The sequence below is a fragment of the Homo sapiens genome, chromosome 5 (assembly GCF_000001405.40).
Source record: "Homo sapiens chromosome 5, GRCh38.p14 Primary Assembly".
NCBI classification, from domain to species: domain Eukaryota; kingdom Metazoa; phylum Chordata; class Mammalia; order Primates; family Hominidae; genus Homo; species Homo sapiens.
In genome coordinates this window covers 42,460,132-42,484,710 of record NC_000005.10, presented here as the reverse complement: position 1 = coordinate 42,484,710, position 24,579 = coordinate 42,460,132, and the positions used below count along the sequence as shown (strand labels likewise).

The following is a 24,579-nucleotide window of genomic DNA, read 5'->3' as shown; positions in this document are numbered from 1 at the left end:
TGAATCTCTATCAAAGAGCCCCGCTAAGCACCTTTTTCCTGTCTTGGAGCATGCCTCAGTGGACCTGAGTGAGCAGAAAGCAGCTGTCCTTTTGAATTTAAAAACAGTTCTGGGCTCTCCTCAGGGCAGCATGGTCACACTGAAGACAAAAGAGCAGCAGGCTGCATATTTCTGGAAGAGAATGCAAGGAAAGCATCTTTTTCATTTTTATCTGATTTCACATTTCCAGGACTAAGCAACAGGCTAATCATTACAATTTCATACCTCCCTCTTCTGGAAAATGCTTATTTCTGATGCATTTACTCTTTACAATGTCTGGAAATCTTCCAAACTACCAGATTTAAAGAATATCCTAATGGTGGATATGTGGATACCTGTAGTCCTACATAAGGTAAATATGAATCATATTTTTAGTTAATGAATTAGACACCACACACATGAGTCTTGAAAGTTCAGTCCAAAGAACAGCATTTCATTGGCTTCTAACTTCATATGTAAGAAGTCACATGTCAATCCATAAAGATACATTTTCTGGGCTTTTTAAGGATGTCCACAGTATGAAAACTCTAAAAAGAAAACAATTTCCTCAAGGCAAAGTGTTTATGATACACACTTATAAACATGATCCATCCATGTGCTGGCCAGCAAGCATTATTAAGTACCTACTTAGTGCTCGTTCTGCACAGAGCTATGTGCTGGACAGCAAGTATTATTCAGTACCTACTTAGTACTCTCTCTGCACAGAGACAACAGTAGGCTGGTTCTAAGCACAAGATAAAAATCAGAGTCAAATGCTAGCCCTGGAACACAGCCCAGTATGTTACAACTGTGTTTTCAAACCTTGTGAAGGTTCTTTTCTCTGACTTCACCCTAACAGAATGAGAGTGCTTGATTTTTGAGAGTTCAGACCTGGCTAAATTGACCATACAGTTACCCTTTCTCTGGCAACCTATCTTTATGTTAACGACAATGTTATGGACATGGGCTAAGAGGTCCCTTTATAAGTTTTTCTCAACTCTTGCTACATTGCTTGGCTTCACTAAATGGGTATCACTTTCAGATTCGATTCCCTCCCCTAACGTGTTAACTAGGTATCATTTAGGAAGTGGTTGATAACATACATGACTTCCCTATTCCTCAATAATAATTATCAATACCAATAAAATAATTATTTTGGATGTTGTGAAGAAACACACGGTTCTTTTTTTTTTTTTTTAACATGTCCAAATAAAATACATCTTTAAAGTCTCATAGAATCATAAACTCACCAATGGGGCTGAAATGAACTTGTATTCACCAAGCTCAGGCTCCTTGGGCAGATTTCTCATTTGCAAGCTGATAATTAAAAAGACAGTAAGTGCCCAGCCATGGAGGCTCATACCTGTAATTTCAGCACTTTGGGAGGCCAAGGTGGGCAGACTGCTTGATCCCAGGTGTTGGAGATCAGCCTGGGCAACATGGCAAAACCCCAGCTCTACAAAAAATACAAAAATTAGCCAGGGGTGGAGGTACACGCCTGTAGTCCTAGCTACTCGAATCCCTTGAGCTCCAGAGGTGGAGGCTGCAGTGAGCTGAGATGGCACCACTGCACTCCAGCCTGGATGACAAAGTGAGACCCTGTCTCAAAAAATAAAGAGAGAGTAAGTGTGAATGCCAGCAAGAATCACAAGTGTGTGATCTGGGGGAGGAGCCAAGATGGCCAAATAGGAATAGCTCCAGTCTACAGCTCCTAGCATAAGTGACACAGAAGACGGGTGATTTCTGCATTACCAATTGAGGTACCGGGTTCATCTCACTGGGGTGTGCCAGACAGTGGGTGCAGGACAGTGGGTGCAGCACACCGAGTGCGAGCCAAAGCAGGGCGAGGCATCGCCTCACCTGGGAAGCGCAAGAGGTCAGGGAATTCCCTTTCCTAGTCAAAGAAAGGGGTGACAGACGGCACCTGGAAAATCAGGTCACTCCCACCCTAATACTGCACTTTCCCAATGGGCTTAAAAAATGGCACACCAGGAGATTATATCCCGCACCTGGCTCGGAGGGTCCTATGCCCATGGAGTCTCGCTCATTGCTAGCACAGCAGTCTAAGATTGAACTGCAAGGCGGCAGCGAGGCTGGGGGAGGGGCGCCCACCATTGCTGAGACTTGATTAGGTAAATAAAGCGGCCAGGAAGCTCGAACTGGGTGGAGCCAACCACAGCTCAAGGAGGCCTGCCTGCCTCTGTAGGCTCCCTCTCTGAGGGCAGGGCACAGACAAACAAAAAGACAGCAGTAACCTCTGCAGACTTAAATGTACCTGTCTGACAGCTTTGAAGAAAGTAGTGGTTCTCCCAGCACGCAGCTTGAGATCTGAGAACAGGCAGACTGCCTCCTCAAGTGGGTCCCTGACCCCTGAGTAGCCTAACTGGGAGGCACCCCCCAGCAGGGGTGGACTGACACCTCACACGGCTGGGTACTCCTCTGAGACAAAACTTCCAGAGGAACGATCAGGCAGCAGCATTTGCGGTTCACCAATATCCGCTGTTCTTCAGCCACCGCTGCTGATACCCAGGCAAACAGGGTCTGGAGTGGACGTCTAGCAAACTCCAATGGACCTGCAGCTGAGGGTCCTGTCTGTTAGAAGGAAAACTAATGAACAGGAAGGACATCCACACCAAAAACCCATCTGTACGTCACCATCATCAAAGACCAAAGGTAGATAAAACCACCAAGATGGGGAAAAAACAGCAGAAAAACTGGAAACTCTAAAAATCAGAGTGCCTCTCCTCCTCCAAAGGAAAGCAGCTCCTCACCAGCAATGGAACAAAGATGGATGGAGAATGACTTTGATGACTTGAGAGAAGAAGGCTTCAGACGATCAAACTAATCCGAGCTACAGGAGGAAGTTTGAGCCAATGGCAAAGAAGTTAAAAACTTTGAAAAAAAATTAGATGAATGTATAACTAGAATAACCAATGCAGAGAAGTCCTTAAAGGACCTGATGGAGCTGAAAACCAAGGCACGAGAATTACGTGACAAATGCAGAAGCCTCAGTAGCCGATGAGATCAACTGGAAGAAAGGGTATCAGTGATGGAAGATGAATGAAATGAAGCGAGAAGAGAAGTTTAGAGAAAAAAGAATAAAAAGAAATGAACAAAGCCTCCAAGAAATATGGGACTATGTGAAAAGACCAAATCTACGTCTGATTGGTGTACCTGAAAGTGACGGGGAGAATGGAACCAAGTTGGAAAACACTCTGCAGGATATTATCCAGGTGAACTTCCCCAATCTAGCAAGGCAGGCCAACATTCAAATTCAGGAAATACAGAAAACGCCATAAAGATACTCCTCGAGAAGAGCAACTCCAAGACACATAATTGGCAGATTCACCAAAGTTGAAATGCAGGAAAAAATGTTCAGGGCAGCCAGAGAGAAAGGTCAGGTTACCCAGAAAGGGAAGCCCATCAGACTAAAAGCTAATCTCTCGGCAGAAACTCTACAAGCCAGAAGAGAGTGGGGGCCAATATTCAACATTCTTAAAGAAAAGAATTTTCAACCCAGAATTTCATATCCAGCCAAACTAAGCTTCATAAGTGAAGGAGAAATAAAATACTTTACAGACAAGCAAATGCTGAGAGATTTTGTCACCACCAGGCCTGCCCTAAAAGAGCTCCTGAAGGAAGCACTAAACATGGAAAGGAACAACCGGTACCAGCCACTGCAAAAACATGCCAAATTGTAAAGACCATCAAGGCTAGGAAGAAACTGCATCAACTAATGAGCAAAATAACCAGCTGACATCATAATGACAGGATCAAATTCACACATAATGATATTAACTTTGAATGTAAATGGGCTAAATGCTCCAATTAAAAGACACAGGCTGGCAAATTGGATAAAGAGTCAAGACCCATCAGCGTGCTGTATTAAGGAAACCCATCTCACATGCAGAGACACACATAGGCTCAAAATAAAGGGACGCATGAAGATCTACCAAGCAAATGGAAAACAGAAAAAGGCAGGGGTTGCAATCCTAGTCTCTGATAAAACAGACTTTAAACCAACAAAGATCAAATGAGACAAAGAATGCCATTACATAATGGTAAAGGGATCAATTCAACAAGAAGAGCTAACTATCCTAAATATATATGCACCTAATACAGGAGCACCCAGATTCATAAAGCAAGTCCTTAGTGACGTACTAAGAGACTTAGACTCCCACACAATAATAATGGGAGACTTTAACACCCCAATGTCAACATTAGACAGATCAACGAGACAGAAAGTTAACAAGGATACCCAGGAATTGAACTCAGTTCTACACCAAGTGGACCTAATAGACATCTACAGAACTCTCCACCCCAAATCAACAGAATATACATTCTTTTCAGCACCATACCACACCTATTCCAAAATTGACCACATACTTGGAAGTAAAGCACTCCTCAGCAAATGTAAGAGAACAGAAATTATAACAAACTGTCTCTCAGACCACAGTGCAATCAAAGTAGAACTCAGGATTAAGAAACTCACTCAAAACCGCTCTACTACATGGAAACTGAACAACCTGCTCCTGAATGACTACTGGGTACATAACAAAATGAAGGCAGAAATAAAGATGTTCTTTGAAAGCAACAAGAACAAAGACACAACATACCAGAATCTCTGGGACACATTCAAAGCAGTGTGCAGAGGGAAATTTATAGCACTAAATGCCCACCAGAGAAAGCAGGAAAGATCCAAAATTGACACCCTAACATCACAATTAAAAGAACTAGAAAAGCAAGAGCAAACATATTCAAAAGCTAGCAGAAGGCAAGAAATAACTAAGATCAAAGCAGAACTGAAGGAAATAGAGACACAAAAAACCATTCAAAAAAATTAATGAATCCAGGAGCTGGTTTTTTGAAAAGATCAACAAAATTGATAGAATGCTAGCAAGACTAATAAAGAAGAAAAGAGAGAATAATCAAATAGACGCAATAAAAAATGATAAAGGGGATATCACCACCAATCCCACAGAAATACAAACTACCATCAGAGAATACTATAAACACCTTTACGCAAATAAACTAGAAAATCTAGAAGAAATGGATAAATTCCTCGACACATACATCCTCCCAAGACTAAACCAGGAAGAAGTTGAATCTCTGAATAGACCAATAACAGGCTCTGAAATTGAGGCAATAATGAATAGCTTACGAACCAAAAAAAGTCCAGGACCAGATGGATTCACAGCCGAATTCTACCAGAGGTACAAGGAGAAGCTGGTACCATTCCTTCTGAAACTATTCCAATCAATAGAAAAAGAGGGAATCCTCCCTAACTCATTTTATGAGGCTAGCATCATCCTGATACCAAAGCCTGGCAGAGACACAACCAAAAAAGAGAATTTTAGACCAATATCCTTGATGAACATTGATGCAAAAATTCTCAATAAAATACTGGCAAACCGAATCCAGCAGCACATCAAAAAGCTTATCCACCATGATCAAGCTGGCTTCATCCCTGGGATGCAAGGCTGGTTCAACATATGCAAATCAATAAATGTAATCCAGCATATAAACAGAACCAAAGACAAAAACCACATGATTATCTCAATAGACGCAGAAAAGGCCTTTGTAAAAATTCAACAATGCTTCATGCTAAAAACTCTCAGTAAATTAGGTAATGATGGGACATATCTCAAAATAATAAGAGCTATCTATGACAAACTCACAGCCAATATCATACTGAATGGGCAAAAACTGGAAACATTCCCTTTGAAAACGGGCACAAAACAGGGATGCCCTTTCTCACCACTCCTATTCAACATAGTGTTGGAAGTTCTGGCCAGGGCAATGAGGCAGGAGAAGGAAATAAAGGGTATTCAATTAGGAAAAGAGGAAGTCAAACTGTCCCTGTTTGCAGAGGACATGATTATATATCTAGAAAACCCCATCATCTCAGCCCAAAATCTCCTCAAGCTGATAAGCAACTTCAGCAAAGTCTCAGGATACAAAATCAATATGCAAAAATCACAAGCATTCTTATACACCAACAACAGACAAACAGAGAGCCAAATCATGAGTGAACTCCCATTCACAATTGCTTCAAAGAGAATAAAATACCTAGAAATCCAACTTACAAGGGATGTGAAGGACATCTTCAAGGAGAACTACAAACCACTGCTCAAGGAAATAAAAGAGGATACAAACAAATGGAAGAACATTCCATGCTCATGGGTAGGAAGAATCAATATTGTGAAAATGGCCATACTGCCCAAGGTAATTTATAGATTCAATGCCATCCCCATCAAGCTACCAATGACTTTCTTCACAGAATTGGAAAAAACTACTTTAAAGTTCATATGGAACCAAAAAAGAGCCTGCATCGCTAAGTCAATCCTAAGCCAAAAGAACAAAGCTGGAGGCATCATGCTACCTGACTTCAAACTATACTACTAGGCTACAGTAACCAAAACAGCATGGTACTGGTACCAAAACAGATATATAGACCAATGGAACCGAACGGAGCCCTCAGAAATAATGCCGCATATCTACAACTATCTGATCTTTGACAAACCTGACAAAAACAAGAAATGGGGAAAGGATTCCCTATTTAATAAATGGTGCTGGGAATACTGGCTAGCCATATGTGGAAAGCTGAAACTGGATCCCTTCCTTACACCTTATACAAAAATTAATTCAAGATGGATTAAAGACTTACATGTTAGACCTAAAACCATGAAAACCCTAGAAGAAAACCGAGGCAATACCATTCAGGACATAGGCATGGGCAAGGACTTCATGTCTAAAACACCAAAAGCAATGGCAACAAAAGCAAAAATTGACAAATGGGATCTAATTAAACTCAAGAGCTTCTGCACAGCAAAAGAAACTACCATCAGAGTGAACAGGCAACCTACAGAATGGGAGAAAATTTTTGCAATGTACTCATCTGACAAAGGGCTAATATGCAGAATCTACAATGAACTCAAACAAATTTACAAGAAAAAAACAAACAACCCCATCAAAAAGTGGGTGAGGGATATGAACAGACACTTCTCAAAAGAAGACATTTATGCAGCCAAAAAACACATGAAAAAATGCTCATCATCACTGGCCATCAGAGAAATGCAAATCAAAACCACTATGAGATACCATCTCACACCAGTTGGAATGGCGATCATTAAAAAGTCAGGAAACAACAGGTGCTGGAGAGGATGTGGAGAAATAGGAACACTTTTACACTGTTGGTGGGACTGTAAACTAGTTCAACCACTGTGGAAGTCAGTGTGGCGATTCCTCAGGGATCTAGAACTAAAAATACCATTTGAACCTGCCATCCCATTACTGGGGTATATACCCAAAGGATTATAAATCATGCTGCTATAAAGACACATGCACACGTATGTTTATTGTGGCACTATTCGCAATAGCAAAGACTTGGAACCAACCCAAATGTCCAACAATGATAGACTGGATTAAGCAAATGTGGCACATATACACCATGGAATACTATGCAGCCATAAAAATGATGAGTTCATGTCCTTTGTAGGGACATGGATGAAACTGGAAACCATCATTCTCAGCAAAGTATCGCAAGGAAAAAAAACCAAACACCGCATGTTCTCACTCATAGGTGGGAATTGAACAATGAGAACACATGGACACAGGAAGGGGAACATCACACACTGGGGACTGTTGTGGGGTGGGGGGAGGGGGGAGGGATAGCATTAGGAGATACACCTAACGCTAAATGACGAGTTAATGGGTGCAGCACACCAACATGGCACATGTATACATATGTAACAAACCTGCACGTTGTGCACATGTACACTAAAACTTAAAGTATTATAATAATAAAATTTTTTAAAAAAAGAAAAAGAATCACAAGTGTGTGTGAGAAGAGATGGAGTAGAAGGCAAAAAGGAGAGACCATCCCCTATCAGGGTTTTACTGATAGACTATTAGAGGTAGTAACACCTGAAACACCATATAAATTGCCTGAACTTCAAAAGTCTCAACTTTCCTTTGAATTTCTGTTGGCCAGTATTTCTGTGTCAGAAAGGAACTTTAGAAAAAGGCTTTATAATTACATAAAGTAGTAGAGGAAAAGGAGAATCATTTTCCAACAATTTCTCTCTTCAGTCAGGAGTTTCTCATCATGATTTTCATAATTCATCATCAATTTGCATTATTTTTAAGAATTTGCTATTTTTAAAAAGAATTTAGGCCAGGTGCAGTGGCTCACGCCTGTAATCCCAGCACTTTGGAAGGCCAAGGCAGGCACATCACGAGGTCAGGAGATGGAGATCATCCTGGCCAAAATGGTGAAACCCTGTCTCTACTAAAAAACAAAAAATTTAGCCGGGCATGGTGGCGCGTGCCTGTAATCCCAGCTACTCGGGAGGCTGAGGCAGGGGAATCACTTGAACCTGGGAGCGGAGGTTGCAGTGAGCCGAGATTGTGCCACTGCACTCCAGCCTGGGCGACAGAGCAGGGCTCCATCTCAAAAAAACAAAAACAAAAACAAAAAACACAACAAAAAGCCGGGCGCGGTGGCTCACGCCTGTAATCCCAGCACTTTGGGAGGCTGAGGCGGGCAAATCACGAGGTCAGGAGATCAGACCATCCTGGCTAACACGGTGAAACCGCGTCTCTATTAAAAATACAAAAAATTAGCCGGGCATGGTGGTTGGCGCCTGTAGTTCCAGCTACTCGGGAGGCTGAGGCAGGAGAATGGCGTGAGCCTGGGAGGCGGAGCTTGCAGTGAGCCGAGATCCCGCCACTGCACTCCAGCCTGGTGACAGAGCGAGACTCCGTCTCAAAAAAAAAAAAAAAATTTTTAATCTGATGAATCTGATGTATATTTCTCAATTCATGATATCCTTTGCATGGAATTCTTTAAAATGAACCCTAAAGAGGGGGGAAAAAGCTCCATTTTCCCACTGTCAAATGCTGTTGGGATTATGGATTCCAATTTACTCTCACTCTCCCCATCACATTTTGACTGCTGACTCTGACTTTTCGCTGATTCTGCTACACAGGCAATTTCCAAATTGTTACTCATTCCATTCCTACACCCAGTGGAAGATCCATGTTTTTAGGGCCTGAAACTTATACAATTTGGTGGGGGGGTCCTTTTTAAGAAAAAAAAAAAATACATAATTACAAATACAAAATGCGCATGACCACTTTAATGCCACCCAACTAGAAAGGGAAGGAGAAAGGAGGGAAAGTTGAATTGGAAGAAGACAATGATCTTAACCAGTCATGGCTGAAACACATTATGTTTTGCAATTTTTATAAAAAAAATGACCATAATAACACATTAGCAGGGTTCCTTCCAGGACCCTGGAAGGGGTCTCTGCAAGTGAGGGACCCTCAGGCTTCAACTCCTATAGTTTCACAAATCTGCCTCTGTTATAAACCCAAATCTCTACTGCCTTCATTACATCCAAACCTAGAGGGAAATTCCAGCCCAAGCATAAATCCAGTGCTCTTTACCAGTTCCCTTTAACCCACAGAAAGACTTAAATTTTCACAGGAGGGATAGTTAAAAATCAAGGGCAGGCTGGGCGCGGTGGCTCACACCTGTAATCCCAGCACTTTGGGAGGCTAAGGTGGGCCTTGAGGTCAGGAGTTCCAGACAAGCCTGGCCAACGTGGTGAAACCCCGTCACTACTACAAATACAAAAATTAGCCAGGTGTGGTGGCAGGTGCCTATAATCCAAGCTACTCGGGAGGCTGAGGCAGGAGAATCACTTAAACCCAGGAGGCGGAAGTTGCAATGAGCCAAGATAGCACCATTGCACTCCAGCCTGGGCAACAGAGCGAGACTCTGTTTAAAAAAAAAAAAAAAAGGGCAAAAAAAAAAAAAGAAAAAAATGTTGTAGAAAATTATTAAATAGTTAAAAATCAAGGGTGAAAAAAGAAAAAATATATTGTAAACAAATATATGTTCCTAAAAATACAGGTTTTACTCTTTAGAAAACTACCCATTCCTCTTTGATTGTCTTGTATAAGCATTCTGTTTGTATAGAGTACATATTATCAAAATGTTCCTCTTCGTGTTCTTAGTGACTAAAATCCATTTCTCTCTTAAGTTCCCTGCCTTTTTTTGTTGTTGTTGTTGTTCAAACAGTATCTTCCATCGTGGTTCCCAGGCTTAGGTCAGACAGACACGCAGATATGCTTTATTCAGAAATAACTGGCCAAAGACCTCTGCCTGATTCTGAAGGTATTTGCAAGCCTCTCAGAGGGTGTCTTATAGAAGTCCAATCCTGACTACTCACCAGACAGCAGGTAGAGCACACTGCCATCCTAAACCAGGCACTTCTACAATCAGAAGAGGGGCCTTTGTGGAAGCAGGTTGGCAGACAGACACTTTGCTTTCTTTCTTTATTTCTTTTCTTTCTTTCTTTCTTTCTTTCTTTCTTTCTTTCTTTCTTTCTCTTTCTCTTTTTCTTTCTTTCTTTCTTTCTTTCTTTCTGTCTGTCTTTCTCTCTCTTTCTTTCTTTTTCTTTCTCTCTCTCTCTCTTTCATCTCTCTCTCTCTTTCAGAGACTGAGTCTTGTTCTGTTGCTCAGGTTGGAGTGCTGTGGCACAATCTTGGCTCACTACTACCTCTGCCTCCTCGGTTCAAGCGATTCTTCTACCTCAGCCTCCCAAGTAGCTGGGATTATAGGTGTGCACCACCACATCCTGTTAATTTTTTGTGTTTTTAGTAGAGATAAGGTTTCGCCATGTTGGCCAAGCTGGTTTTGAACTCCTGACCTCAAGTGATCCACTCACCTTGGCCTCCCAAAGTGCTAGGATTACAGGCATGAACCACCACGCCTGGCTAGACAGACACTTTTCTTTTTTTTTTTTTTTTTGAGACAAAGTCTTGCTGTCACCAGGCTGGAGTGCAGTGGCACAATCTCAGCTCATTGCAACCTCTGCATCCATGGTTCAAGCGATTCTCCTGCCTCAGCCTCCCGAGTAGCTGGGACTACAGGCGCATGCCACCATGCCCAGCTAATTTTTGTATTTGTAGTAGAGACGGGGTTTCACCATGTTGGCCAGGATGGTCTCAATCTCTTGACCTCATGATCCACCCGCCTCAGCCTCCCAAAGTGCTGGGATTACAGGCGTGATCCACTGCGCCCGGCCAACAGACACTTTTCAATAGACCTTTCTAATTTGCTTATCAGCTTTTCTGAGCTTTGCCTTAAGAATAAGGCCTCATTATTAAACCACATATTGCAGTGTTCACTGCCATGAATTCACCGAGTTAGGCTGAATTCTGGTAATGTCCTGCTATATATCCAACACATACCTAGCATACAAATTATTTCTATCTATAGAGAAAAATATTATCTTTGGGCCATTCATAACTCTCCACTTAGAAATCGGGAGGCTGAGTCAAGAGAATTGTTTGAACCTGGGAGGCGGAGGTTGCAGGGACCCGAGATCGCGCCGTTGCACTCCAAGAGTTCCAGGGCAAAGCTCTGGTTGACAGGGTGAGACTCCGTCTCAAAAAGAAACTACTTAGAAATGATAAGGCCTCATTGTTAAACTACATATTCTACTGATCACTGCCATGAATTCACCCAGTTAGGGTGAATTCTGGTGATGCCCTACTATACACCCAACACAGACTTATAATACAAATTCTTTCTATCTACAGAGAAAAATATTATCTTTAGGTTATTCATACCTCTTTCACTTAGAAACAGTAGTTTCATTCTTAGACTTAACTGCTTCTCTGGTAAATCTCATTCTGTCATAGCAATTCACCCAATCTTAAGGCATACACTGACTTTTAACATTATTTAGAGTAACCAACCTAAGGGAGGTGACATCCAAGTCATGAAATCATAGAGTAACAGAATCTTGGAACACAAGGAACCTCTGGGATGACCTGGTTGTACCTCCTATCCAGCAGAAGGAGTCTAATCCCTAGAGCTCAGGAGCTTGTTCATCTGGCCCCACCTAAACACATCTACTCACAAGAAGCTCTTTCCCTTAGAGGCCAGGCTGTTTCTTTGGAAATTGATTTTAATATCTAGAAACTCTTCCTTATATTTGCTCTCTTATAGGCCTTAGTCACCCATCCACCACTCCTCAGCTGGAAGCAGCCAAGAATAACATCTTATTCTACCAGTGACAATCCTTCAAATTCTTATGGGCTATACACCATGTTCCACTTAGGCATCTAATTCTCTTTCTACTATTTGGCATAATTTCTTGCCCTGCCAGTATTCTGGCAAATGCTTCTAATGTTCTCTAATTTGTCAATATCCCTCTTAAAACATTTCATCTAGACTTGAAGCCATTAACTGAGATGTGGTCTACTATGACTATTTGTATATATATACTTCTTTTTTGTGCAATAGCATTTATACAATCCACAAATGAGTTAACTTCTGGGGGCAACTGTGTCAAATGCTTGGCTCAAATTAAGCTCATGACCAATTACATATAAAACCAGAACATGAGAACATAAGCCAGATTCTCTAAGTAGAAGTAAAGCATACATCTCCAGAAGTAAAGCATCTTAAAATAATCATCTTCCTGTAGATGTTTAAGGGATGGAATTTTATGATAATCACCCCCCCACTGACCTGCTGCATAGTTTGTCAACTCAACATCAACAAGCTCATCATCAGATTTTGCAAAAGACCTCTTGTTTATCCCAGCCTAAGTGAATGTTCTTTTGCATTTTAATCACTTTCTGCACAATGTTGGTATAGTGTCAAGGCCCAAAGTAGGCATTAGTTACTTGCTGACTAAGCCATTAGATAAATGAATGACGAGTTCCCACTCTCTCCCATCCTGTCTTTAATAATGTTGATTGTTTTTCATCAGTGTATTTCTCCCCACATCACCCTTAAGAGCTATAGTTCTCCATTAGGGTTCTGGGCAGTGATAATATTGTTGTTCCTGCCATTAAATGATTCTGTTACTTTAGAAAAACTCCTAAGCTGCCTAAGACCCCTGTTTCTCCATATGAACAATACTGTCATTTTATTTATTATTTAAACAAAGACGTATAGTACTTGTTGCAGACCAGCTACAGTTCTAGGCACTTAACAAATATAAAATCATTTAATCCTCAGGAAAACCAGACTGAGGCACAGGAAAGTTAACTAATTTAATAAAGATTATATAGCTAGCAAGTGATGAAGCTGGGATTCGAACTAGGCAGTCTGACTTTTCTATGTGTGTTAACCACTAGGCTATGCTACCTATCCACATGCTCTGAGAGCATAATGTTTAGATAAGTAGGAAGGTCAACGATCACACTCCTTGCATCATAAGTGTATATGTTAGTACATCAAAAACTGCTTGATTTTCCATTAGTTCCTCAAATAGTAGCTTCTCCTTCCAGTCCTCATATTTTTTAAAGTTACTAACCAAAGGACAAATCACTCAAAACATGGCATTTTGAACATAGAGTGGATGCCTTGAGTTGATTTGAATTCCTTCCAGTCACAACTGTTGGAATTATTTACCTGAAACGTTAAGGACCATGAAAGCCAGTTGACCTATTGCCAGAACAAGAGCAAATCAAAAAAGTGCTATACCAGGCACCAGGAATCTGAGGGAAAAGGAAAATGTACTTCCTCAGAAAAACATCAAAGTATAGGCTATTCCAGCTTAGTGCTGGCCCAGCTGAAGACAGGAACAGAAAGGTACTCAGATGTTTGCATGCAGTTTACCATAGTGTAAATAGTGACTTGTACTCTCACAAATAAGAAAATTTGGAGGACTTAATCCAAAATGTCCAGTATAATGAAAATTTTTTTCAAAATAATTACAGCCAGATCACAAAAGCTATAAAGGAATAAACTCCTCAAGGACATGGAGTAATAAGGAAAAATGGAAAAGCAGGTTGGAAGGCAATGCAGTCACAGAAGCAGCTCTCCTGAGTGGCATTTTTTACTCCAAATTTAGATTCAAACTAAATTCATTAGTCCTTCAGCTGAGTAAGAAACACCTGAGCACTGCATAGAGCCAGGGGAACATTTCCATTTAACAATGGACCTCATGGAAAGCAAGATCCTTACAGTGTAGGGCTAGGGGCTGCGGCAAACTAATCTGTAAGTTTAGAATTTTGCTCTGGAAAATTTACTATTGGAAGGATCTTGTGGTGATTAGTGCTAATCAACAAGAAGGCACTGATTGCTTTTTGAATGGCCAAAAGTCAAATTTCATATGAACGAAGCAAGCATTGGACACAGCAATAGAACATCTGCATAACTGTTATTGATGAAATGATAACCCAAGATTCTGCGGGAAATCTATTGGGAATACAAATATGAATTCGGATTCTCACCTTTGGCTAACTGAAATATTCTTCAGGTGTATTAGATGAAGGGAAGGAAGAAAAAGCAGTTAATAATTGCAAAGCATGATTCTAAGCAAACAATGCAGGATATATATGTGCGTGTGTGTGTGTATACACAAATACACACCCCATATATTTACTATATAGATAATATATATTAATACATGTAATACATTATATAATGATATATAAATATATAATATATTATGTTATAGATATAATATAATAGTATATAATATATAATTATATCTTATATATTATAATATATAGTATATTAATGTAATAACATATATTAATATAATATTTTATTATTGACATATAATATAATATGTTATTTACATATTATTTATACACACATTATTAATTATATTAGTAGTATATATATATTATTTATATACACACACAAATATACACACATATATTTCTCCCCACTCTTACCCCATTTAGGAGGTGAGACTTAAATTACTGTGAGACTAACTCTTAACATGCCTTTCTGAAAGACAAAAGGAATACCTGTCCCCACTCCGTTAAGTGTCCCTAGGAACTTCACAGAAAGAAACCTTTATGCTTCTAAAAATCAGTAAACAGCTAGAAAATAAAGCAACAGCCCAGGTAAAGTCCAAACTTGAGAAACACAGCTTATGCTTTTGTTCTGGCACCAGCACCTCCATTTCCCAGTTGTCTGGGTGATATAGGTGTCACGGGAATTGAGGCCAAGTGTCCTGGGACTCTGGGTCTAAGGAGTCTGCTCTCCTCTTCGCACTACCCCGGGTCTGGGAGACTGGCTGGTCCTGCTGTCAGGGGAATGAAGGTTCTGAGAAGGTGCCTGAATCCTGGTCAGAGGAAGAGGTCTTGTGAGGCACTAAGACAAGGGGCTTGGACATGACTGGCAGAGACAAACTGTAGGAGCACAGCAAGGAGAAAGCAGGTCCTCTCCCACCACAAGGACATCTCCAGGATAGGCTGAGGCAGACAGTAGACTGTTCTGTCAAAGTGGAATATTCCAGAAGTGAAAATGTGAAGCCTAGATCTCCTTATCTATAATTGTGAATAATTATACTGTCTCTTGTATCCCAATCTGCATGATCCACCCCACCACTACACTTCCTCCTTTATCAACTATTTGTATACATAAAAATATAAGAAATAATTTACTTTTCTCACTTCCCATTAGGCTTTCCTAAGTTCCCTGGACCCACCTATTCCAGTGAACAGTGAGAGAATGCAGTTTGTTAGCAGTAAATAATAAAACAGACAATAAGGGTCTTGTCTCAAGTTTCCAAACTGTCTCTCTTTCCCAGAACAAGAGAAGCTTCTTTCTACAATAGTATTATCTAGAACTATCTTTTAATTTGTCATAAAGTCATAATTAAACATAACTCCATTTTAGAGACTTTAAAAATTCATTTTGAAATTTACCTTGCCTGACATTTACAGGCGGATTTCAAAAAAATTGTTCTTCGATCTTCTGGGAAGAGCTGAAGCACGCGCTCTTGGCTCGGCGCAGCCCGCTGCAATCCGTGGAGGAATGTGCCGCCGAGCAACCATCATGCCTGGGCAGTTACAGGAAGGCTTCAGCTGCCTGGTCACCAACCGATTCGACCAGTTATTTGACAACTAATCGGACCCCTTCGAGGTGCTGAAGGCAGGAGAGAACAAGAAAAAAGAAGCTGGCGGGGGCGGCGTCTCTGGGGCCAAGAGCGGCAGCTCAGGCTGCGACCCAGACCAACTCCAAGGCGGCAGGCAAATAGCTAGCTGCGCAAGGAGTCCCAGAAAGACAGCAAGAACCCGCTGCCCTCCAGCGTTGGCGTGGTTGACAGGAAAGAGGAGACGCAGCCGTCCATGGTGCTTAAGAAAGAAGGAATAAGGGTCATTGTTCTCGTGCCAGTAGGAGCTGAGGTCCTGGTCCCCCAGCCTCCTGCTGCAGAGCCAGTGAACTCTGGTCGGGCCTCTCAGCTGCGCACGTAGGCAATACTCATCTTGGCCCTGGGAGGAAACTCAAGAAGAAGCTTTTGAAACATAAAGCTTAGATGGGGTTTGACCTGTGCTGGGCAGCTCCCAGCTATAGGCGTTCCCCTGCTGAGCAGAGAAGATGACTGCAGAATTGAGAGAAGCCATGGCCCTAGGCCCATGCCGCCCAGTGAAGGTGAAAAAGGAGGAGGAGGAAGAAGAAAACTTCCCAGATCAGGCATCCAGCCAACAAGTGCACTCTGAGAACATCAAAGTCTGGGCCCCAGGGGAGTTTCGTCAGACAGGCCTTGATGGATCAGAAGAGGAAGAAAAGGTGCTGAAACCAAGAACCTTCAGTTACTGGTTCCAAAAACTGAGATACGTGAGGAAGCTGAAAACCCCCGCATCATATTAGGAAGAATCCAGAAAGCTGATCCTTAAGGACCTGAGTTAAGAGAGGCTTGTGAAAAAGAAAACATGTTAAAGAGGCAGAGAATAAGGAGGGAAAGGAAAGATTTCAGATAAGTCATAGTGAATGACTGTCACTTACCTGAAAGCTTCAAAGAAGAGGAAGACCAGAAATGTAAGAAATCTGTGGGAAAATACAGCCTTAATTCTGACACTGTTAACAATCCGAAAACCCAGCTTGGGCGAAAGTCTTTTACATTGTAGCATGTGTGGGAAAGGATTTAGTCAGAGTGCAAACCTCGTTGTGCATCAGAGAATCCACACCGGGGAGAAACCTTTTGAATGTCATGAGTGTGGGAAGGCCTTCATTCAGAGTGCAAAGCTCGATGTGCATCAGAGAATCCACACTGGACAGAAACCTTATGTTTGCTCAAAATGTGGGAAAGCCTTCAATCAGAGTTCAAATCTGACTGTATATCAAAAAAACCTCTCCTTAGAAAAAACCTTTAGGCGTAGTAAATGTGAGAAAGCCTTTAGTTATAGCTCACAACTTGCTCGGCACCAGAAACTCCACATTACAGAAAAATGCTGTAAATGTAATGAGTGTCGGAAAACATTTACTGGGAGCTCAAACCATATTGTCCACCAGAGGATCCACACTGGGGAGAAGCCCTCTGCCTGTAACGATTCTGGCAAAGCCTTTACGCAGATTGCAAATCTTATTGTACATCAGCGAAGCCATACTGGTGAGAAGCCATATGAGTGTGAGTTTGGGAAAACCTTTAGTTGTTTTTCACACCTTATTATGTACCAGATAATTCACACTGCAGAGAAACCTTATGACTGCAGTGAATGTGGGCAAGCCTTCAGTCAGCTCTCTTGCCTTTTTGTCCACCAGAGAATTCACAGTGGAGATCTTCCTTTTGTGTGTAATGAATGTGGGAAGGCCTTCACATGTAGCTCATACCTACTTATTCATCAGAGAATCCATAATGGAGAAAAACCTTACATGTGTAATGAGTGTGGGAAGGCCTTCAGACAGAGGTTGAGCCTCACGGTGCACCAGAGAACCCACACTGGGGAGAAGCCCTATGAATATAAGAAGTGTGGTGCAGCTTTCATTTCCAACTCACACCTCATGCGACACCACAGAACCCATCTTGTTGAACAACAAGTAAGGAAGAGGAAGACTTCCAGCATTGGTCATAACCTTCTGCCTCCCAAATGAGACACCTCTTTGCTGTTTTCTTCTTCCTTTATAAAGATGAGGCCTATGTCCTTAAAAGTTACAGTTTTCAGGAATGCAGCACAAAACACAAGATAAACATTTCAGCAGTTAATTTAAAGAAAACAGAAAGTAAGCACCTGAAGGCAACGACTTTGTTTTAACTGTACCTTAAGTGGTCATGTTTTCTGAAATGGAATGTAGCTTTCTTAGGAATGGGTCATACAAAGTAATGATTGTATTTGGGGAAAGGTCTTTTTTGCTTAATTTTGTTTTTAAAAACTCTGATGATTGCTTGAGCAATAGGCAGGTTATCTGCCTGGTTGAATTCTGGTTGAACCGTGTATTCTAGTATTTCTGGTTAAGTGGTGACTAGGTAAGGAAACCACTTGGGGTAGCAATTCAACAATTCACTTATGAATGTTTATAAGCTTTCCATTTTCTAAGTAATTTTTTAAAAGCTAGTCAAAAGAAAAAACCTTAACTGTCTACTGTACCAAAAATGGACAGAAACAGGAAATGGCCTTTTTCCTTACTGTCTATACCCCCTGAACCTTGATATTGTAGATATTGTAAAGCTCTGGAGACCTCTGTTGAGTCTGTTCTGACCATTCCCTAGTGTGCATGGCCAAGCCCTCAAGGATTGATGGACACCACACGCCAGCTATAGTCATTTGTTAAGATTGACAACTCCTCCTCCACACAACTCAAGCTCCCAATTCCCATTGCATTCCATTTGGGTAAGATGCAACCAACAGCCCCCTTCCTGGATAGAGGAATCAAAGAATAAAGCTTGCCTAGAGGAAAAATAAAAAACACAAAAAGAAGAAGGAATAAGACAAGTTGGAAGAAGACCTGCTCAACAACTTCACGGTGAAGGGAAAATAACTGATAGAAGACCAGAAAGGAGACCACCTTGTGAACGAAGACTTGAAAAGCCACTTGATGAAAGGGGTGAAGGAGGCGAATTTTCAGTTGATAGACTGATTATTGACCGACCTATTCAAGGTCATGGTGGTCTTGGAAGAGGTCGAGAGGGCAGTGGACGTGAAATGGGCCAAGGAGATGGATTTGATTCTCGTGGCAAACGTGAATTTGATAGGTATAGTGGAAGTGATAGATCTTTTTTTTCACATTACAGTGGCCTGAAGCACGAGGACCTGTAACGTGGAGGTAGCAGATCTCACAACTGGGGAATTGTCAAAGATGAATTAACAGAGTCCCCCAAATACATTCAGAAACAAATATCTTATAATTGCAGTGACTTGGATCAATCAAATGTGACTGAGGAAACACCTGAAGGTGAAGAACATCATCCAGTGGCAGACACTGAAAATAAGGAGAATGAAGTTGAAGAGGTAAAAGAGGAGGGTCCAAAAGAGATGACTTTGGATGAGTGGAAGGCTATTCAAAATAAGGACTGGGCAAAAGTAGAAACCTCTTCAATCCCTTTATACCCTTAACCTAACTTTCTCTTACTGGTGGGTAATAACTGAAAATAAAGATTTATTTTCATGCAAAAAAAAAATCTGTTCTTCAAGATCATCACATTCAGTATAAGAAAATCAAATTCTTTCTGTCCAAATGTACTGTTCTGGCTTTGTCAACTTGACAGCAGCCTCTGCGCCCAGCTATTCTACTTGTCAACTCTTGACTCAGATACTTGTTCCAAACCATGGGACCCCTCTGCTTTTCATTAAAGATTATTATAACTAACTTAGACAAAAGGAACCGGACTTTGTCACACAGCACCAGAAATCCCAGCACTTTACAGAATAATCATTCTTTATCTTTAAGATGTTCACAGAGTTGCTCAATTGACAATAGGAAACAAACTTTTTCTCAAAAGAGAATCTCTTCCTTTTTTATTTCTTCATGATTTGCCCCAAAATAAATATATTCCAGTGCACCATTTAAACAGTTTAATTCATCCATTTGTGTTACTATGCCCTAGTTACTTCTAACCTGGAAAGAGGGTCACATTCCCTTCCTTTCTTTGTAGTGGAGAAGTCAGAAGATACTCATAATGATAGACATTAGTAAGTGCATCCTGTGTGTGTGCACACACAGCCATTCATAATTTAGATTATTAGTTCTGCCAGGGACTCTAGGGATGTCCTAGGGTTAAAGATGGCCTAGTTAAACTCTCTTCAATCTCTTTATACCCTTAACAAAACTAAGATAACATGGCAGAGACTTCCTTGGTTCTTTTCCTTCTTCCAGTCACTCAGCACACACCTGCAGAATGGATTCATGACCCTCCTACTTTTCCTCTGCTCCACACTTGCCTGTTTCTTCTCTCTTTCCTCTTGACTTGGTCCACTCTCTTTCTGAGCTTCCTTCTTTCCCATAATCTACCATCTTCCAGAGAGCTCATTCACACCGTGCATCCATGCATTGCATGTATGTGTTTCTGATGGCATGACCCCACTGCCAATTCTCCAAAATTTCAAAAGTAAAATAAACAAACTTACAACTTTCTGCTTCAGATAAAGCAAAAGGACACTTTCATTTAGAACACAAAGAGAGAAAACTAATTTTTGAGTCAGAAAGTAAGCTCCCATTCACCATGGGAGCTTCGCATTGAGAGCAGTTCATGTACATCGTAAATGTTCAATAAACACATCCACTTGCAGATAGCTGAGGAGCTCTGAGTCAGCAGCAGGTAGTAAGTAGATAATGAAAGCAAACTAAATTAGAAGTCAGAAGACTGAGCATCTAGTACCAGCTCTGACTGAATCAAGTTATGTGACTCTGAGCACTTTTTTTTTTTTTTTGGTAATATCAACAAGGTAACACTAAATTATTTCTTTTTCTTTTTTTTTTTTTTTTTTTTTTTTGAGACGGAGTCTCGCTCTGTCGCCCAGGCTGGAGTGCAGTGGCGGGATCTCGGCTCACTGCAAGCTCCGCCTCTCGGGTTCACGCCATTCTCCTGCCTCAGCCTCCCAAGTAGCTGGGACTACAGGCGCCCACCACTACGCCCGGCTAATTTTTTGTATTTTTAGTAGAGACGGGGTTTCACCGTTTTAGCCGGGATGGTCTCGATCTCCTGACCTCGTGATCCACCCGCCTCGGCCTCCCAAAGTGCTGGGATTACAGGCGTGAGCCACCGCGCCCGGCCCACTAAATTATTTCTAAGGTATTTTCCGTTTTGAAAATCCAATGGTGATAAAACATGAATTACAGCTAAAGATTAAAAGGCCTTCAAAGAGGTTTATAGTCCAACCACTACCACTCCCTTTATTTCATATTTCCAGAAAGATGACTATTTGTCCCATTTGAAAATTTTCCAGGAAAACATTTGATTTTCCCATTGTCATCTGCACGCAAATTTTAGTACAAAAAAATAGTTCTCAGATTTAACCCAAAATCCATGTCTATGTTTATACTGCTGCTAATCAATTCAGGACTTAAATATCTAATTATAAAATTTCACAACCCTCATAATCTTGGGATGTAATTTTATTTTCAATGCAAGTATTAAAAGATATGGCCAACAAGGCATAAAAACATTTTCCCTGAAGTCGTATCATTGACTAAATCATGGAGCTTGTCTATTCAGCTTCTCTCTCAATATACATTTATAGCAGGACATGATTAGTTTTCACCTAAGAAAACTCTGCTTATTAAATTATATTTCATTCACCAGGACTCCTTATTTATCTCAGTAATATTTAATGGAAAAGTAAATAAAACACTATTACATAGATGCTTAGAGAGATGACAGTAATCTTATTCTAAATTAAATAAAGAAAGGTTAAGTAAATATTACAATCTTTTAGTATGAACCTTAAAATAATAAATCTACCTCCTTATTTTTTATAGCTTATTCTGGAAATATTTATCAATGTAATACTGAAACTAACTTATCATTAATTATTTTCTGTTTTTTTTTATTTTTCAAAAGCTTAAGTTACATTGTATGCTAGTTCCCATTCAGATCTTAATATAATTACTAATTCATTTTTAACACATCCTGATTTTCCATTTCAATAATGCATTTTAATGCATAGCTATATATCCCCATTATAAAACTATGCAATAGGAAGTGCTGACATTACAACCTTGTATTATAATTTTTGAATTTGAGGACCTCCCTAGATACACATATCCACACACACACACAAAAGCACACGCACACACACATTTTGTTTTCAAATATCTAAAACAAAGGCTCACTCTTAACCATAATAAACCAGAAACAAAAAAAGAAAATTGCTTTCAATAATGAGTAACCTTATGTTTATATAAGGTAATTATTTATATAATCTCATTATCTATTTGAAAACAGACCTGTGGTGAAAAAAGCAATAGTTCATTTACATATTATGACAAAGTGGTTTAAATCTATATTTGAATTAAGGAAATTACTCAAAGCTAAAGTTTTTGTTTTCCCCTTGCAACTCTTTTTGTGTAGAAAAGTAAATAAGGAATCTTAAACAAGTACTATTAAATTTTGCTTAGCTTCATTTTAATGAGGAATGACTTCATCATTCCTATGGCCATGCTGAAAAATTAAACTTATCTCTGACTCACAGAGAGTCTGTGCTGAGAAACATGAAAATCAATCTAATGACAGAAACAGAGCTATGACCTGTATCAGATGGACAAGAGAAAACCAACATTTCAAATAAATCCTCAACAGAGTAACTTCCACTTTCATCGTTAAATTCGGTGTCTATATGTGGGTTGGAAATGTATCTGGGTGAACATTAGATTTAATACTCATTTTTAAGACCCTGCTTCTGAAACCTGTCCTGGAATAGTTTCATGATAACTTGCTTATGCAGCAGCTTTGGCCTCTGGGTACCATGTTTCTGACAGGACAGGAGACTGCATACCAGAGGGAGAACATTCACAATCTCTTTGGAATCTGTTACTTGGAGGGGTCTGCCAGAGGCAAAGTCTTAAAGAAAGTGATGCTCATTCCCTGTGTTTTTCCATTCTCCTTACCTAGTCCCTACCAGTCTGTCCTGCTAGAAGCTGGCTTCCCTAAAGCTAGATGTTCAGGCCTCAGTGTCGCTGGATTAAATCTTCATGCAGTGGACTTTTTCTTTTTTCATGTCCCCTTCCATAAATACTAAGAGACATTCTGTGCTGGAGGTAGAATCAACAGCAAAACACAACTGGCTGCCAAAGTGCTGACAGACTATTGGGAGGAAGATAAACATTTATGAAACAGCCATACAGATAAACACAGAATTCTCCTACTGGGGACTGCCACCAAGGAGACATTCATGGTGCTATGAAAGCACATGATAGGGGTATATGATCCAGTTCCAGGGTTCAGGGAAGGCCTCCCCAAAGAAATGACAATCAGGCTGACAGTCATGATGTAAGGGGCTCCCAATGAAAAGCAAATGCTGAGCTTGGGAACCTGAAAGAAGATCAGTGTGGCCACTGCCAAAAAGGAGGATTATGATAGGAAGCTGGAAAAAGGAAGGCAGGTGTCAGACCTTGTGACTTTTTGGGGAAATGTTAAAGATTTATTCTAAGAGCCTTGGAGAACATTAATGAATATTACGTGGATAATGAATGAAATAATGAGGTTAGAGTTCAGAAAAAAGGTCCACTGTGGTAAACAGATAGGGTTTAGGGTTGAGGAGGGCAAAGTACAGCCAGCCTGCCTCCTTCCTTCCCTCCACTATTACAAGGGGCAGCTGTGTCCTCCTTTGCTAGGACCCACATTTCACTCAGTAGAACTGCTCTTATAAATCACCTCTGTCCCTTTTTCTTCCTTATTGGGGAAGAAGAAAAATGTCCATCCTAGGAATGAAAGCATATCCCAGATATTCAGAGACAAGGAGTCTTCAATTTTTCATCTGCAAAGCATGATTAATGGTGGGATGTTGGGCAGCTAAGGACTCTAAGATACCTTTGGGAATATGGGATCCTCTTTGAGCCTCTCAAATGATATTACATTAGGTCCTAGAAGACCATGTGAAGAAAACACACCAGAGCCCTAATTATGGCAACTGGTCTTCATTGATTAACAACGAAAGATAACTATTTCCTTACTGACAGGAACTCAAATGAGACTTGGTATTAATATAGCCTTCATTATTAAACATTTTTTTTCTAGATTTCCTATTAAGCTACCAACTATTAACTATTAGGAAACACTCTTTTTTTGCTTTTGGGTTGATGGATGGTGTTTGCAGATTTAACATTCTGCAGATATACATGTAAGTTTAACATACAAAATTACTGCAGTCACAGGACTATTCTAATGGGAGGTGAACCCTTTCCAGAGAGGAACAAGCACCGTCAAAGTCAACCATTTGCATAAGTGAGATCCATTCCAAACTTCCTGGAAACTAACTTTAAGTGCTTACTATGGATCAGCAGTATGATAAGCAAAGTACTTAAGCAATTTCATTTAAAACTCACAGCAAAAGCATGCGGCAAGTTGAAGAAAATGTAATGTGTTAGCTAGTAAAAGTGATAGCTAGTAAAGTTAGAACCAGGATTTGAAATTTTAAGTAACTTACATATTTAGTAAATTTAAGTAACCTGCTTACATGGTATAATAATTGGCTTGGGCTGCCACAACAAAATACTACAGTTTGGGTGATTTAAACAACAAAAAATTATTTCTCACAGTTCTGGAGGTCGGGAAGTCCACGATCAAGGTGCCAGACACTTAAGTTCCTGGTGAGGGCTCTCTTCTGAGCTTGCAGATGGCCACTCCTCACCATGTC

General features: G+C 40.5%; 1 protein-coding gene and 2 pseudogenes across 5 annotated transcripts in view; 2 read left to right on the top strand and 1 right to left on the bottom strand.

Moving 5' to 3' along the window:
• Positions 1-24,579, bottom strand: part of GHR (growth hormone receptor) — a 298,440-nt gene that overhangs the window by 237,168 nt on the left and 36,693 nt on the right. The window contains exon 2 of one of the 5 annotated variants that reach the window (NM_001242401.4): positions 1,382-1,474. The exons of the other annotated variants lie outside the window; for them this stretch is intronic. The gene's annotated coding sequence lies outside the window, so the exon portion shown is untranslated. The remainder of the gene's footprint in view (positions 1-1,381; positions 1,475-24,579) is intronic. 5 annotated transcript variants of the gene reach the window in all.
• Positions 15,759-19,396, top strand: SERBP1P6 (SERPINE1 mRNA binding protein 1 pseudogene 6; annotated as a pseudogene).
• LOC100419545 (zinc finger protein 35 pseudogene) lies at positions 16,189-18,020 on the top strand (annotated as a pseudogene).